The 18273-nt window shown below is 34.4% G+C and overlaps 1 protein-coding gene across 34 annotated transcripts in view; it reads right to left on the bottom strand.

The window, feature by feature from the left end:
• Window positions 1-18273, bottom strand: part of TUSC3 (tumor suppressor candidate 3) — a 434904-nt gene that overhangs the window by 134965 nt on the left and 281666 nt on the right. The window contains exon 7 of one of the 34 annotated variants that reach the window (NM_001413688.1): window positions 17828-18260. The exons of 32 other annotated variants lie outside the window; for them this stretch is intronic. In NM_001413688.1, the coding sequence (NP_001400617.1) occupies window positions 18186-18260 (75 nt within the window). In that variant the 3' untranslated portion in view covers window positions 17828-18185. Of the gene's footprint in view, window positions 1-17827; window positions 18261-18273 lie in introns of those variants that run through there. One more of the 34 variants, NM_001413681.1, reaches the window with a different exon arrangement.

The following is an 18273-nucleotide window of genomic DNA, read 5'->3' as shown; positions in this document are numbered from 1 at the left end:
CGTATTTATAATGTCATAGCGTTGTTTTCAAGTCGTAAGTCCAGAATTCTGTCTATTGTAGGGAAAATGATATTAGTTACAGAGGACCATAAAAGAGAACTGGTTTCAAATACATCCTTCAATATATTTTAAAACAACTAAATATACAATACATTTAAACCCTACAGTAAAATATTCAGGGATTTTAATTCAGAGCATCTAATTACAATTCTCTATTTTTTTAATTTCTCAAATGAAGCTATTACTAAAGTCCTCAAAAGGGTATGAAGAACACTTAAACTCAAAAAAATCGTATAAATAGTAGAGAAAAAGTGATGATTTAAATAACTATATAGTAAATGTTCTTTAAAATTAATAAAACCAGTTACTCATTTCGTATTTACACTGAGCTCATTAAAAAATGATTTTCTTTTTCGGTAAGCAGTTTTTTGTAAATGAAGTTTCTTAACAAATAAATATTGATATTTCGTAGTTAGTACATATTATTAGCATATAATTAAAATATTTCTCCAGAGATTTCAAAGTATATTTCGTCATTAGTAATTAATGTATCACACGTGTATCAGTGTATTACAAGGGAGCACTTACACATACTTATACACACTTACTCAATTTTTTACCCATAAATTGGTTTTATCAAATATACTTCCATTTTTCACAACTCTTTTTCTTTATAGATTTCAAAAATGTTACACTGACTTGCAAACACCAAAATCATACTTACTGAACAACTTTTCTTTAAACTGGCTTTTTTTTTTAAGCTGGTTAATTCATACGAAATCCCTCAGATTTGTCCTTAATCAGAAATATGTATTAATGAAAACAAGAACATTCACAAAACTTCAATTAGAATTTTTGTTTTTTTCTTCTGGAGAAAGAGTCTCACTCTGTCGCCCAGGCTGGAGTGCAGTGGCACAACCTTGGCTTGCTGCAACCTCCACCTACTGGGCTCAAGTGATTCTCCTGCCTCAGCCTCCCGAGTAACTGGGACTACAGATGTGTACCATCATGCCAAGCTAATTTTTGTATTTTTAGTAGAGGCGGGGTTTCACCATGTTGGCCAGCCTGGTCTTGAACTCCTTATCTCAAGTGAACCGCCTGCCGTGGCCTCCAAAAGTGCTGGGATTACAAGCGAGTGCCACCACACCCAACCCTTCCATTAGAATATGTAAGCACAGTCAAAACTCATTTTACGTTGCATATTTAAGATCTTTGCATTTTTTTGTATATAAATCATACCTCAATACTAAAAAAAGATACGTTTTCATGGAAATATTATTTGGAAAACCTTAGGAAAAACAAATGAGAATCGTTCCATCATATCCACAGAAAAGTATGCCCACGAGTTTTGCATTTATGATCTGGAAGCATTTTTTTTTCTAAAATAGAGACCACCGCTAGAAAAATGTGAAATAATTTTTTTTTTTCTGTTTTACATCAGGAAATGCATAGTAGTCCCCCCTTATCTTTGGTTTTACTTTCTGTGGTATCGGTTACCTGCTGTCAACTACAGTCCAAAAATATTCAATGGAAAATTCCAGAAGTAAACAATTCATATGCTTTAAGTTGCAGGCTGTTCCGAGTAGTGTGATGAAATCTCATGCCATCCTGCTGTGTCCTCCTTGGGCTGCGAATCATGCCTTCGTAGAGCATATCCACACTGTACATGCTACCTTCCCATTAGTCACTTAGTGGGTTGCTCAGTTATCAGGTTGACAGATCACAGGAAGAAGAAGAGTGGGTATAGTACAATAAGGTATTTTAAAGGAGAGACAGACCACAGACCACATCCACGTAACATAATTTATTACAGAATATTGTTATAATTGTTCTATTTCACTATTAATTATTGCTGTTCATCTCTTACTGTGCCTAATTTATAAATTAAACTTCATCCTGGTATGCATGTTTAGGAAAAAACACAATATATATAGAGTTTGGTACTATCTGAGATTTCAAGCACTGAATGATGGTCTTGGATTAGGGTGGACTGTATAAAGATTATTTAATTTAATTATCAGAACAGGAAAAAAAAGAAACCTTGAGGTGTACAGATTCTTCCATTTTACAGAAAAGGTTAAGTAACTTGTTTAATCAAGAAGTGTCAAGGGACACCTGCATTCAAATGCAACGTTGTATAATATGCAATTTCATGCTGTTACCGTTGTATCATAGATTCCAAAATAATCCAGTTTAAAATTATAAAGAGTTATAAAGAGGAAGAAATCCTACCAAGAGAGCTATTAATAATAAAATGTAAAATTCAGTTCTGAGTATCTGAAAATATAAAACTAACATCTACCAGAATTGGTTATGTAGCTCTCACTTCAGACATTCTCTGGGTTTAATATACATCTTTCTTTTGAACATTCATCTTCTCAATTAAGTTTACTGATTCTTTATCAAACTGAACAAACTGAAAGAAACCTTAAACTAGCAGACAGAGGACAAGAAATTGTATATTTAACATTCCTACTAAGAAAGAAGTATAACCTTGGAAATTATGTAGTACTGAAATATCTGGATTAATACCAGATGTTTTAAGATAGCTCACAATTCTTCATTAGTACAAGTATTTCAGAACCATGTTGGTATCACCTCTAAAGTTTCTCTTTAATAACCACTTCCAGCAGTTACAAACTACCAAATATAACAACTATATAAAATGTAGTGCCTTTATTGTAATGTAAAAATTTGTGATAATTCAAACACTTTCTGGCTGGAAATAGCGATGAGATGTCATTTTTTTCAATCCTCTATCTTTTGATGATGGCATAATAACTTCAACAAAATTGGGGTTCAAAAATCAAAATTTAAAAACAACATATATACTGCTACACTTGTTATTTACACAGATTTACTTTACGGATTAATCATTCAAATCCTTTATAAGTGTGCTTGAGGTAAAGTGTTACAAAATTCTATCCTCATATTCCAATAACAGAGCATTTTAAGTTATATAATGCAATTTATACAGACTGTCTTCAAAATGCTTTGTACCACCAATAACACATCTCATGCTGAGTAAAGAGGTAGATGTTACTATAAGTTGTTCTTAATTGTGTAAGACGTCTGTAGCTTCAATGAAGAGGTAATATCCTTCAAGGCGCACTTTCACTAAAATAAAACTTAATCAGTAAGCCATTAACAAGCAAGTGGTATTTGCTTAAGTACTTTTCAAATGAGGCCACGGTTGTGAATAAGTGACCAATTATTTTCATGAGAAATATGTTTAACAAATGTCAACTGAGTATTATTGCTCTGTTAGAGGCTGAATTGAGTCCCTCCCAAAAATGCCTAAGTCCAAAACCCCCAGTACCTCAGAATATGACTCTTTGGTGAGAGGGTCTTTAAAGAGGTCATTAAATGAGGTCACTAGGATGGGCCCTAATCCAATATAATTGGCATCTTTATAAAAAAAAGATCAAGACACAGACATGCACTGAGTAAAGACCATGGGAAGAGTGAGGGAGGAGAAGGCAGCCATCTACAATCCAAGAGGAAAGACCTCAAACTCGCCCTGCTGACTCCTGGGTCTCGGATGTGTGTAGGCTTCGTAATCCTGAGCAAATACATTTTCTGTTGTTGGAACCATCCAGTGAGTGGTACTTTGTTATGGCAGCCCTAGCAAACTAATATATCTATTACAACTGACAAAAATTCTGCTAGTTTTCTTAAGATCTTTTAATCGATGCCACTAATGCCTTATGTTTATTGTCAGCTTTCTTTTGAACAATGACAGTAACACTATGCTTAGATTTTACTTTTAAAAATGTAATTTTAATTGGAAATGCTTACAAGCATGTAAATTAAACACATGTATTATATATACTTACAAGTGTAAATATGTGTGGAAAAGCACAGAAAATAAATGAGAAGAAACCACATAAAACTGTAAACCACTGTTACCTTTGGAATGAGTATGATAAATTCGGAAGAGAATAATGAAAGGGAGGCTTTTATGTTTTCTTTTATATAGTTATGTATTATTTCAACCTTTTACGACTTTTACAAAAACGTATTTGTGGATTATTTGGGATCAACATGTTCTTTAAAGAAAAGCAAAAATATTTACTGTTGCCATCAAGTTTACAATATTCTAGAAAAATAAGAATTACTTATAAATGCTGTGGACATCCAACTGATTTAACAGCATGGAAATAACTGGTGACCTTAGAGAGTGTAATTATCAATGGAGCTACGCATAAAGGAGCCAGACTGAACTGTACCGAGGAGTGAACCAGAAATGAAGAAACTTAATGGACACAGATAACTCTTGTAGTAGTTTAGTTTACATAGGAAATAAGGTCATCTAAAGTGACCCTTACTGTGACCTGTGAAGACTAGAATAAAGGTGTGCAGGTGAGAAACTTTAGGAGCAAACACTGTGGAATGTATTAAATCAAAACGTTATTTCTGACTTTCTACAGTATTTTACAAGCAGCAGCAAAGTAGGCAGTAAAGCTTAAAAGGATTGGGGATTGGCAAGAAGATAGACGGTTGAAAAGAAAGAGGACTGAGATTCTAGAGAAGGAAATCTTAGTGTCCTTTGGAGACCACGTAAATCCTTTTTAAAAGGGGTGATGGAAATAGGAACATAAAAGAGATCTAATAAAACGGTTAAGGAATAAAGATCGAAATAAGCAGGAATAAGAGAAGGGGAGAAACTGAAGTTAAACTCGATGTGAATTTCAAGTTGAAGATCTTGGTTTTGGAACTGTTACATGTTTTCATGAGGTTTCAAATAGTTCTGAAAAGAGCAGGTTAAGTGGAATGAACAGGTAGTGACAGAAGTTAAACAGAAAAATGATAATACAAAGATAGTTTGCTAAAAGAATCAACAGCATGAGTACTCTGAACAAAAGCATTAAAACAAGGAAATTTATATCATGTCTGAAGACGAAGAATGAATTAGATAATCTTTAAAAGTCCTCTAAGAGCCTCTAATCTTATTTTTCAAATAAGCTATTACTTATTTGAAATATTTTACAATACTTGTAAAATAAGATTGTACTTTCTGAAAATACTATTAATAAGATATATTCAATCCTAGAAAATAAAAATTATTATGTGACGAAACTGTGCACAGCAATTTAGTATGTTTTCTTCTTGGAAGGAAAAGATTAAAAATCAAGGTCTGAACAAATCACAACAATAATATTCATGAAGTTCATAAAGTTTGTGTCTTGGTTATTATTTCCTTTCAGTTCCTGAAACTATAGTAAAAACGTGACGATCAAACTGGGGGTGGCAGGGAGGAGGAAGCTATATATTTTAAAATATACTCTGAAACTATAGAGTAATTCTAATTGTCAATTAAAATTCTCAAGTGGAAAGCTTAAATATACAGGTAAAATATATTTGCAATTATAGCATTATCTTTATGGATATAAACAATCAAGATACTATTGTTCACAAGAAGTTATTTTCTTGAGCAAATCAGACAAAACAGGTTATATCCTTAATTTGCTTAGCAAACCATGCCTACACAGTGCAATGGTAAATTCTCTAAAGATGATGCTAAACTATCACAAATTCCAAAGTTAAGAATCTTAATGCTTAAGGCATTAATGCGATTTAAACAAATATATATACATATATTAAATATATATATATACACACATATTAAATACACACACACACACACACACACACACACACACGTACCTTTTTGTTTTTCTAAAACCTGGTAACCTCTTTTCTGAGATAAGTTTTTGGTTTAGAAAAAGTAAACTAAATTATCAATGGCACAGATCCTTTGAAATTATGTTTATCCTTTCAATCTTCTAAATAATATTTGAAAAAAAGAGCAGAATCTTCTATGCCTAATGAAGAAATTCTAGGAATCCTACAAAAGAAGGGAGAGAACCCTTAAAATACTGCCTCAGCTTAAGTAGATCAACATCGAGGAGAGACTTACAGGAATTTTTCAGAAGAAGTGTTTCATTACTTTTTATTGCCAAGGAAAATGCTGGTAGTGAGAGGAGAGGACAAGAAAAAAAAGGGAAAGCGAAGAAAACGGAGGTAGTAGTTTGGGGACTACTGTTTTAATGTCTACATTATCAGAGACAAGCCTGAATTTAGATGAGAAGTTCTTAATTTACTATACATAAGACTCAGGAAACCCTTGAGGGGTGACTTGGGTGGCAGATTAGTTAACTGACTGCAAAGTTAAGTGAAATTCTGGAATGCAGGCAAAATTCCACTTCTTGATTTGGTGCTGGTTTTATATATATATATTTTATATTATATATATAATGCAGCTTAGTAATTTGCATGAAGTGAATATATATATATTTATAAATTCACTTCATGCAAATATATATATTTATAAATATATATATTCACTTCATGCAAATTACTAAGCTGCACATTTATGATTTGTGCATTTTTATGCCTATATATGTTTCTGTAGAAATTTCACTCAAATAACCTGGGAATCTTGCTACAAAGGTGCATTTCTAGGTCCCATTTTCTGCAATCTGCATTTTAATAAGTAGCCTGGGGGTTTGCTCAGCCAACCTCTGGAACATAACTGGAAAAATGACAGTGGAGAGGTAAACAAGTGTTTCCTTTTTCATGTCAGCTATGTTTTCCTGCCATAGGAATTTGTGGCCCATTCAATGAATCTGCTTATTTTAAACTGCAGATTGATTACTCACTGTAGAATGAAGGCCCTTGTTCGGTCAGAACTCATTTCCACTCTCACTCTTTATTTCATCTAGGCTTAAATAGCACGAGGCCCTATACTAGAAGACACAAAAATGAGGAAACAATCATTTCTGACTTTAAGAAATTTAAGTTTACATTCCAGTTTAAATAACTATATATTATCTAAACTACAAACCAAGCAAAAAATTAGGTAGCATAAGTGGTAGCAAATAAAGCATTATTAAATTAAGAGGAAGGGTGGAGAAACAGACAAAGTTTCTTGGGAGAGATCATCATAGGATGATTCTAGCCTCCAGACAAAACCTAAAGTAACATTTCAGCAAATAGAAGAAAAAGGAGGTAGGACTCCGAAAAGGGCAGGGAGGGGAGCGCACTAAGGTAAAAAACAGTATAGACTGTAGATAAGTCCACCAGGAGGGAAGAGGCTGTCACTACATTTGGAGGGATCCTGGAATAGGGGAGAAATAATGAATTTTGTTAAGTATAAGGAAGTCACAGAAGACTTTTGAATAGAAAGGAAATGTGACTGTAGGTCAATTTAGGAAGCTGAATTTGAGTGCCATAATGTAATGGACTGCAACAAGGAAAAGATGTAGGTGAGCCAGTATGCTATATTAAAGTGATGAGGAATCTGGACTACGCAGTTAGACAGGTCTAGTTGCAGTGGAACCCTATTTAAATCAAGCTACTTAACCTCTCTAAGCCATACTTTCCTTACCTAATTGGGAGATAATAGTGGCAATTTCATATAAGGATACTATAAGGACTAAAGGAGATAACACATACAGCTCCTAACACATTAAAGGTAATTTATCATCATCATCATCATCCTCCTCCTCATCATCCACATTTTCACATCATTCAAGCTTTCCCCGTGCTCTTAGATATGGAGTATATAAATGGCTCAATGGGAGCTTCATCTGGAGCTAAATTCTGGCTGGGAATAATGAGTAAGTCAGAGGAGCAAAAATGAAGAAGGCATAAAATACATATAAGAATATGGATTAACTAGAGCTAGTTCAATCAGCCAAAGGAGAACGAGGAAATACGTGTAGTCAAAATATACAAAATCTAATTTCTCTAACAGGACTTATCTCATACTTGGATTGGGGTAAAAGCTTTCAGATTGGCATTCCTCCAATCTTTTTTATTTTCTAAAAAATAACAGAACTACATATTACTGTTGAGCTAATATTACTAACATAAAAACTTTTTTCCAACAGTAACTAATTATTTGTGCAGTGAATACAAATTTACCTACCTGATCTTCCAAGACAGATTATGTTGGATGCAGTATACCTTCCCAAACATAATATAATCTAACATTTGGCTATCCTCTCTCTTCTAGTCAGGCTATCTTTCCTGTACAAAAACACCATTTTTATATCTGCCTTCCAAGCTTAATGATCAACTATTAGTTGGAGTTCTATCTTCTTTTGAACCAATTCAAATATAATTTATCAAATCTAAATTAAGTACTACTTTGTCAATTTAGATCAAAAGTTGTTAATTTACTTTACATAAGACTCAGGAAACCCTTTTTATGGCACCTAACTCCACACAGATCTTTTCCTAATCTGAAATTCTGATGTATTTATCAGTCAGAATCATCAAGTTTACACACGGATTTGGACTGTTTTCTGTTTCACTTTTATCAGTATCATGACTCCACGTATCTTGTAAAGATCTTGAAATAGAAGCCATGATTATAATCTCCAAAGTATCTAGACTAATGCTAGACAGAAAGCATTATTAAATAAACGTTGATTGACTGTTTAACCCAATTCTCTGTTTAAAAACTGAATGTTTTATCTTTCTTCTCCACCAAAATTCTTAGTTATGGCATATGTTATCAACTTGCCTCCCAAAGCATTCTCAAAATCATTTCAACCCTCTCTATACACTGCTCACTGAACCACAGATGAAGTTTAATAATCATCACTTTTAAATCACTACCACACTTTCATTTAGGAAGCCATTATATGTTACTTCTGTCTTCAGACTAGTCTTTTAAGTCTTTCAGTTTTGTGTGTCACTTTTCTAAAATACAAATCTGCTCATGCACCTCAAAGGTTTACAGGCTTCTGGTACCCAAATGCCTACAGCAGAGTCTAAACATCTTCCTGTGACACACAAGGTTTTTCCTAATCTATTCCCAATCAACTTTCTCAGTATTCCTCCACACTCCATTTATTCCATTTCCTCTACATTTATTATCCTGAATCTACCAATAACTTTACATACCTCTAGGCCTTTGGGTATTTTCTTTACTTTCTTATGCTACTCTGCCCAGTGTAGTGAGGTTGAATGATGTCCTCCTCCAAAAATTAACTTGGACTGTGACCTTATTTGGAAACAGATTTAATTAGTTCAGGATTTAGGAGGGCCCAAAATCCAATGAGAGTATCTTTATAACTTTATAAGAGACAGAAAAGGATACAAAGAGAAGCACAGAAGAAGGGGATGTGAAGATGGAGGCAAAGACTGGAGTGGGGCATCTATTAATACAAGCCAAGGAACGCTAGCAATTGCCAGCAACTACTAGAACCTAAGAAAGAGGCATGGGATGGTTCTTTCCTTAGAACCTCCAAAAAAACCAACCCCGCTAATCTTTTGATTTTGTACTTCAGCCTCCTGAACTGTGAGAGAACAAATTTGTGTTGTTTTAAAGTTACCCGGTTTGTGGCATTTTGTTGTGACAGCCCTAGAAAATTCACACACCCAGGGATGCACATGTCAAATTCCCACTTCAATGTAAACATCTGAGCTTTTCCATTTCCCATTCCACATCTCCTATAGAGTCATCTAGGCAATAAGCTGCTGTTCCATCTTTGCTCTCGCAGAAATATATTCAACATTATATTTGATTGTTACCAAGCTGCATGGCTGTTGTCTACTTACATATCATTTCCCCTACAGGCCTGGGAAAACATCAAGAGAGAAAAATGACTTGTGCTTTGATTTCTGGTATTTAGTGGTGGTGTTTGCCACAATATATGATCAAAAATGTCTTGCTAAAACATAAAAAATATAGGTTTAAAAAACATAGGGCACAAAACTTAGACATTCTTCTCTTGTATTCAATCACTGAAAAGACAGACTATATGATGTGACTCTTATTACAATGCTTATTGCAGAAGTTCAGGACAGGAAACAAAAGTCCAACATAACCACATTTCAGATTTCTTAAATGTAAATTTTAAAGCTTACTGAGAATAGCTTGGCATAAGCATTTTTAGCTGTATATGCATTTACATTACCAGTTCAATTACTTTATGTAGGCATTATGAAAGTGACTAACTCTCAAATATACCATCTGATATAAAATTAGGTTAGTTTCACAGACTTTTAGTAAACTACTAACCCATGGTGATAAAGCTTTGAGACATAGTAACTCAAAAAAAGCAGTCAGGTAAAAACATGGAGTCCAAAACCCATAAAGTATACTTTTATAGCAACAAATGATGACTTATAATATGATTCAATGATCAAAAGTAGCATTTTCCTAATTATCAGTTTTTTATGTTGCTCTGGGTGGCTGAATGAACTTCTTGCGCCCTACAACTTAACTTCCCAAATTTAAAAGGACAAAATAGTAAAAGAATAAAGTTGATAGCTGAAATACATGCTTCTCTACAAGTACTTTATTAAAGTGTCATTGTACAATGGAAGAGTGCTTAGAAAATGCTCGTGATCATATTTGCACAATCAAGAGTTCAATGCAGTTTGTTTCACCCATACAGAAGGCGTAATTATTTTATTTTCAAGTTATGAAATATTTATTCGTATATTAACATCTTGTATTAAAATCCACATTTCAGTATGAGCTACACGAAATTGATAATACTGTTATCTTTTCTCTACTCCTGCAAATAGAATTTCAGAGTGGAAGCTTCTTCTATTAACACTTCAAACCCTTTTTAAGTATTCATATTATGACTCTGACATCTGTCTGAATGATAATAGCAAAGTCATGTGAAAAGTTTGAAGGGTTCTTTCTTAATTGGCTTACTTAAAACCAATATTTTAACATGGAATTGGATGTTCTTGTTAGATTATGAGAAATCTTTCTTTCATTTCCTGAGGAAAGCACTGCAAAATAGAATGCTGCTCTTGAAAAGATAACACTTTCTTTTCCTTTGCTTCCTTAATTGACTTATTGACAACATAAATACAAAGAATTAACACTATTAGACTCTCAAATGAAAATAAACAGCAAACACATAAATATATACCAAAATATACCATATATATGCAATAATAGTAATTTATTATTTACTGAAAATTTAGGGAAACAGTATGCAATATTATAATACATCAGAAGTACTGAGACAATAGGAGTTAACACCCCTGTCTCTAGATTACAATCTGGTTTAATTAGGTACAAAGGGTAACTGTTTTTGTCAGACTCACAGCTAAAATTTGAGAGATCCAACCATGTATAATATGAGTATCTTTAAAGAGTACTTAACTGGAATCTAAAATCCAAACTTCTAAAATGTAAGAAAACAAGTATGTAAAATGGATGCCTCTGTTACGTCACAGCACAGAGATTCAAGGTACACTAGCAGGAAAGGCGGCACAGTTTTATCTGATAATATGTAAGTTGTAAAGCATGAAGGAGGGGATGAGAACCAAAAGAGAAGCTATTTCTGTAATACCTACAAACTCTGACAGACTGAAGATGACCCACCTGCCATCATCATTGGGCTGAAGCAGTACTATGCAGGAGAGAGGCACAAAGACCACTAAATATTGAAGAGATGAAGAGATGCACAAAGACCTTCTTTCTTCCACTCTATCACATAGGGCCATGCTCAAGGATGTTGGAATTCAGCCTTCTGAGAAACTTTTATCAGAGCAAGCTATCAGCGCTTTGTGAAGAATCATTTTAAAGGTAAGTCTTGTAGCTCTGACATATTACCCACCAAAATTGGTTATATACAAGAAAATATTTTATTCAGAGTTTATATAAATTTTTATTTATATACACTACACGTTACTGTTAGGTGATCAATCTAATTTAATAGAATACTATATTCATTCTGATTTCTACAAATGGTTTCATAAAAATGAATAGATTCTGGAGTGGTTTTCCATAACAATAATTTGAGCAGTCTTCTTGTTTAAATAGTTTTTGTTCAAAGTAAATCTTTTTTATTTTAAACAAATATACCACTGTGAAACTCCACTCATCATAAGAAGCCAAGAAAACATTCCAGCAGTGCTTCCTTTCATCATCAAATCAATGTCTCTGTACTCTTTCTTTAGAATAATTGTTTTGGTAACTATGGCTCTAATTCCTGCCGTTAAGAAGGTCCGAGAAAAAAAAAATCATGCACCCAGGGCATTTTACATTATCTTTGAAGAAATGGGTCATGAAAATACAAAGACATAAATAATAATACCCTAATAAAATAAAGGTATAAAATATGAGATGCCACAGAGAAAAACCTAGTAAGTTATATAACAAGTGTTCCAAATAATAAGGACTATTTTTTTTTTTTTAAAGAATACAGGATTAACAAAGAAGCCAGCATGGGTTCTAACTGTTTTGTGATTAACTTGTTATGTGCTTTTGGGCAAATCACTTAACCCTTTTGATTCCCAGTTTATCTAAAAAATCAAACGTAAGAAGTAACGATCCTTCCTATTCCAAAACTCGTCAGGGTCAATATAGGAGCAAACAATGCTCATTCTTTTTACATCCCAAGCATCATATATCTGCTGCAGAAAGGAAAAAGAGGGATAGGATTGGATGTACAGACAGACACAGGGGCAGTGGGTTAGGAAAGAGAAAAAGAAAAGGAAAAAAAAGAGTTTCCTTTAGTTGGTATTTATGTGTTCTGTGGAGAACCAGCGTTACAGTCTAGTTTAGTAGTTGTCATAAACCGAACGAGAACAAAGAACCAATAAAGTTATGTAGCTATCTTTCTCAAAAATAAGTGATTTTTAAAATGTCAGATTATCTCACTCCTTGGCTTGATATCCTTCAAATGGCTTCCACATCACTTAGATTAAAATTCAAGGTCCCTAACAGAGTTTACAAGGCTTATATAGAACACATGTCAACTTGTGCTCTTGCCCCTGCCCCACAGCACAGCACCGTGTCACTCTAATCATATCTACCACTCTCTTCCTCACTCTCATTACTACAATCATACTGGCTTCCTTGCTATTCCAAAAAAAAAAAAAAAAACCATTAAGAATGTTTCCATTTTGGGGCCTTTGCACTTGCTGTTCCATCTTCCGATACTATATAAATCACTCTCTCATTTCCTTCAGGTCTCTGCTTAAATGACTTCTTTTCAGATAGGCCTTCTCAGAACCCTGTATAAAAAAGCATTCTCCTCAACCTTCTATCACTCTGCTTTACTTTTCTCAAAGTATTTACTACCACCTGACATATTTGCTTTTTCACTGTCTGTGTCCCCTGGCTAAAATAAAAGCTTTTTGAGGTTATAAGCTTTATCTATTTTGTTCGTCACTTATTTTGCAGTGCGCCAAGCCAGACTGCTTAAGACAGCATAGAGCAGACACTCTGTAAACTTTTGCTGAGCGAATGAGCTAATGAATACAGTGCTATGGTTTGTATGTTTGTCCCCTCCAAATCTCATGTTGAAATGTGATCCCCATTTGTTGGAGGTGGGGCTTGAGAGGAGGAGTTTGGATCATGGGGGACTTGGTGCCACCCTCCCAGTAATGAATGAGTTCTCCCGCTATTAGTTTCCATGATTTAAGAGAATCTGGTACGTCACTCCTCTCACTCGCCATTTGATTGCTACACATGCTGGCTCCCCATAACTTTGGCTATGAGTGGAAGCAGCTTGAGGCACTCACCAGAAGCAGATGCTGGCGCCATGCTTCTTGTACTGCCTGCAGAATGGTGACCCAAATAAAACTCTTTTCTTTATAAATCACCTAGTCTCAGGTATTCCTTTATAACAACCCAAATGGCCAAAGACAACAAGGCTGCCCAAAGCTGTTATTTTCAATATCACTAATGAATGTTTAAAAAATGTTAAAAACAAGACAAACTTCAAATTCTCCAACTCAACTGCAACCCAAAGTACATTAAATTTGAAGAAAAAATTCCCACTTAGAAGGGTTCAGAAAAGGAAATTGAAAGTATAGAGTAGCTGGAATATGTTATTTGTTTTACCTCTATTTCCATAATATTATAATCTATAATTAATTAGGCTCAAGTTACATATCTCTTTAAAGTTTATACCTATACTAATGTCCCCTGATACTTTCTCTATAACATTCTTGAATTCATAAAGAGTTTAGAAAGATACTTTCTTCCCTAATAATAGCAAGCTATGCAACTAAAATGAGATTCTGTAATCATTTGGGGAATCAACATGAAAGAATCTCAGCAGTTTTTCCCTACAGCAGAGTCTAAGTTAAACAAACAATAAGAAGATAGCCTCACTACTACCTCCATTGCACGACTGTGTGGTGTTTTTTGTTTGTTTAATTAGTAAACTGGGACAGTATACTTCTTGGCATCATGCACGTAAACAATTTCAGCTCATCTTTCTGAAACTCTCAATCACTGTCAACTATGCCTAGCAATGCTGAAACCAAGTGGACCATGAGTTTCTAGTCTGATGAAGCTATTAGAAAAGCTAAAGAGAAGTTAGTTGTATTTTTTGTTGTTGATGTTGTTTGTTTGTTTCAATTTGTTATTTTAAGTAATATAAGTCTGGTACACAGAAAAAAAGGTAATACTTCCACTCCTCCCTGTTCAGAATGCATCTGGAGAATAGTATTCAACTTGAACGCTGCAGGTATTAATGGTGACACCGACAAACTGGAGAGCAAAGCAGAGAACAGAAACCAGGATAGGGAGACACTACCAATCTGTGGCATGATGACTGCTGAAAGAGCTGGAAACAGGTTGCCTAGAAAGAGAGTACAGTGTGAACACCCACCTCAAATATTTGTTCAGCTGATATGAGAACCTTGGAAGGTATTTATACCATGAGATTCCAGAGGGAGGAAAGAAAGCACTATTAAGCATTTCAAAGAAACAGTTTTCAGCTCCATATATGAAACACTTTCTCAACAAATAAAGCATTCTAAAGCTAAAATTGGCTGTCTCATGAGAAAGCAAGTTCCCTATCTAAATTGTTTAAGAAGTGGCTCAACAACTATTATTTAATACCAATGTTTACAAAAGGGTTTCTTACTCAAACAGAAGATTCTGGCTTTGGTAACATTAGAGTCTCTTCCATCTGAAGTACCTATGAAAAGTCTTTTAAGAGTAAATGCCAGAGTAAACAAAAAGAGTCTACAAAAGGAAGCCCCATCAGGCCAAGAAAATAGGCTCTCTTGATTTCGTTCTCCACACAGCCGTGACTGGTCTCTTACATAATGGCTCTTCCATTCTCGTCCCATTTCCATTACCTTGGTAGTGGCCTTAAAAACCTCAAATTCATCAACAACCTCTTATCTCTGAGAACTGAGACCATCTGTGTCAACATGACTTAGTAGTTTATTCAAGGAAATCTTTGCCTGGCAAAGGATAAGACTGTAAACCAAAAAAATAACCTACTGTTTGCTTCAAGAAATTCTCACAGACCAATTTATCAGAGACAACAGTCCATACAACTTGGATAAACAGCTTACTTTAAGACTCTTGCCTCAGTGTCCAACAAACCTAAACTGTTCCATCACAGAATTTGCCTAATCCACATAAGCTGCCTGTCTTAAAAAGCCCACCTTAAACCATTTCAGCACAGATCCCAAAGCCCTATAAATATCCTTCTTCTACTTCTTCCTTCTGAAACACTGCAAAGTTTTTCTTACTGCAGTTAAATTCTAATACATTTGGCTTTGTTTTATTAACAGATTGATGACATTGTGGGTAATTCAACATCTCTATGCATCTACTTCTATAATGAACCATCAAACAACCCCCAAACCCAAAACAGCTACTATATCGACTACAAAATTAACTTCCTTCCTGAAACACTATTCTGGTAATATTATTCTATGGCTTAAAAATGTTTAAAGTAAAAAATACACACATACACAGTATTTTACAAATCATCTTCAATTTCAAAAATATGTTAAGTAAAACTATCCAGACACATACTATGTGATTCATTTTATGGGAACTTCAAGCATAGGCAAGGTAATCTATGGTGATAAAAATCATAACAGTGGCTTCCTATGAGGAATGGCAGATATACATGCAAGAGGCCCTGAGGAAATTTTGTGGGGGAATAAAAAGGTTTTACATTGATTATTACAGGGAAATATACACTTATTAAAATAGGCATTTAAGATCTGTGTATTACGCTATTTGTACATTTTACTTCTGTAACATTTTTTTAAAGTCCATTTAAGATTTCTAATTCCAGACAAGATGGATGTACTTGTGTTTGTCCCTCTAGTTAAATACTGCCAAACACCCTGGACATCACATATAAAACAAACATAAGAAGATTCTGAAAGGTAGAGAGAAGAAAGCACACAGAATAGGGACCTCCGGACTAACACAATGATTTTCACTTCACATATCCTGGACTGGATGATACTGGAGAAGTGGGCAACCCAGAAACACCAACAGGCAAAGCAAAAAAAAAAAAAAAAAAGCTCCAGCCATTCCCTCTAGTGAAAGGACCAGAAAAGGGACAACAAACATTCTTTTTCAGACAAACACTGAAAGAGACATCTGTCTCTTTAAACAAACAGTTTCTTAGGTACCCAACACCACTCTTTCTTCAAATCATTCCATGATTTCCTACTGCTCAGATGATTAGGAGCAAATTACCACAAAGCTTTCAAGGTCCCTCATAATCTAGTAACAAATTATCTTTCTAGCCTCATTTCTCAACACTCACAGGCACTAACCACATCAAATTACTCTCTGTTCCCTCAACAAGGCATATGGCCTTTCTTCATTCTGTCCTATTTTCCACTTGTCCATTAACTGAAGAAATTTAATTTTTTTCCTACAATATCCAGCCTAAGGAAAAGGCTCTTTCACTCCTACTTACTCTGTTCACACAGCACTTTGCTTATATTATGATTATAGCTAGTCTCATATTCTATCAGAAATTAACTGTAGAATCACCTGCAGCCCTGAATAAATTATGAACTTCACAAATACAGGAATTCAGCCCAGAATACTGTTACACCCCCAGAGCTACACAGAGGGAAAAGCATACCGTAGTTATTCATTGAATTGAATTAAATAAATGACTTGAAGTGTGAGTCTGTCTGGTGGAAAAGCATGATAAACTTTTTTCTGAGTCAGTGCAACTGGCTTTCTGGACCCAGAGATTATTTGGAGTTGAAATGTATTTGGATTCAGAATTTCATACCCTAAGCTGATGCCTTCACTGTAATCTTGTCCTGTTTTCAATCTAAGGAACACACACAGGACAGGGTATTTAATCTCTATAATAATAGATTCTATTCAAATGTAGATAATAAAAAGATTATAAAAAGATTCTAATGTTGCAATATTGGAATGCCCTTTCTGCTGACTCAAGTCCCGTTTATAAAAAATGGGCTAGCAAGACATTATATAGAGGCTTTTGCTGATGCTTATATAATTCTTCCTTCTATAGCACTTGTTGAAAGGATAATCACTTGGTCAAAAGAAATCCATTTTAAAAGTTCTATTTAACCTCTAAGTGCTTTATAAAACATTAAATTAGACTTTTCCTGTACAACGCTTAAAAAAAGTCCATACTCTTTGTAAAGGGCACTAAATCTAACAAGCAACAAAGTATTCCAATGGCTTTTCACTCTTGTTATACAACTTCCTCATCTTTCAAACTCATATTAAAGGGAAAATGTCATGTGCTATCAGGATATAAAGTTCATTTGAAAATACAAGTATTATTTAATAAGGAAATAAGTTTCTGCATATAATCTTTTTCCTGGAGCAAACAGCATTTTTTAAAAGTCACATCAATTACATCAGATCATATTACCATTGTTAATGCTAGGTTTTATGTTAGATTTTGAATACTGACAGGTGGACACTAAAATCCAAGTAGTCTGTTTCACTACCATCAGTGAAACAGTACAGACAGAGCAAGAAACAGTGGTGAGAGAGTGCAGTCTAAAAGTTTGCAAGTTTTGAGAACTATGGTGAATGAAAGTGCTAGGAGAAAATGAAAAACACTTTTTCTAAAATGAGAATGCCTTTATTAATGAATTAATTAATTACCAGTAATAAAATATACATTACAATTCACTGAATAGTTGTTACAGTTAAATGATTGCTAGTTATATTTACAGTGTATTTTTAAAAAATTGTTCATTTAAAATAGGCTGAAGATGGCTGCACATGGTTGGCTCACCTCTGTAATCCTGGTACTTTGGCAGGCCAGTGCTGGAGTATCACTTGAGGCTAGGAGTCCAAGACCAGCCTAGATGACATAGCAAGACCCTGTCTCTACAAAAAATTTTAAAAATTAGTTGGGTGCAGTGGCATGCACCTGTAGTCCCAGCTACTAAGGAGGCTGAGGTGGGAGGATGGCTTGAGCCTAGGATTTTGAAGTTAAAAGTAGGCTGTGATCACGCCACTGAACTCCAGCCTGGGCCACAGGAGAAGACCCTGTCTCAAAAAAAAAA

This window comes from Homo sapiens, chromosome 8 (genome assembly GCF_000001405.40).
Source record: "Homo sapiens chromosome 8, GRCh38.p14 Primary Assembly".
NCBI classification, from domain to species: domain Eukaryota; kingdom Metazoa; phylum Chordata; class Mammalia; order Primates; family Hominidae; genus Homo; species Homo sapiens.
The sequence above is the reverse complement of the archived record's forward strand: the minus strand, read 5'-3'. Positions and strand labels throughout refer to the sequence as shown.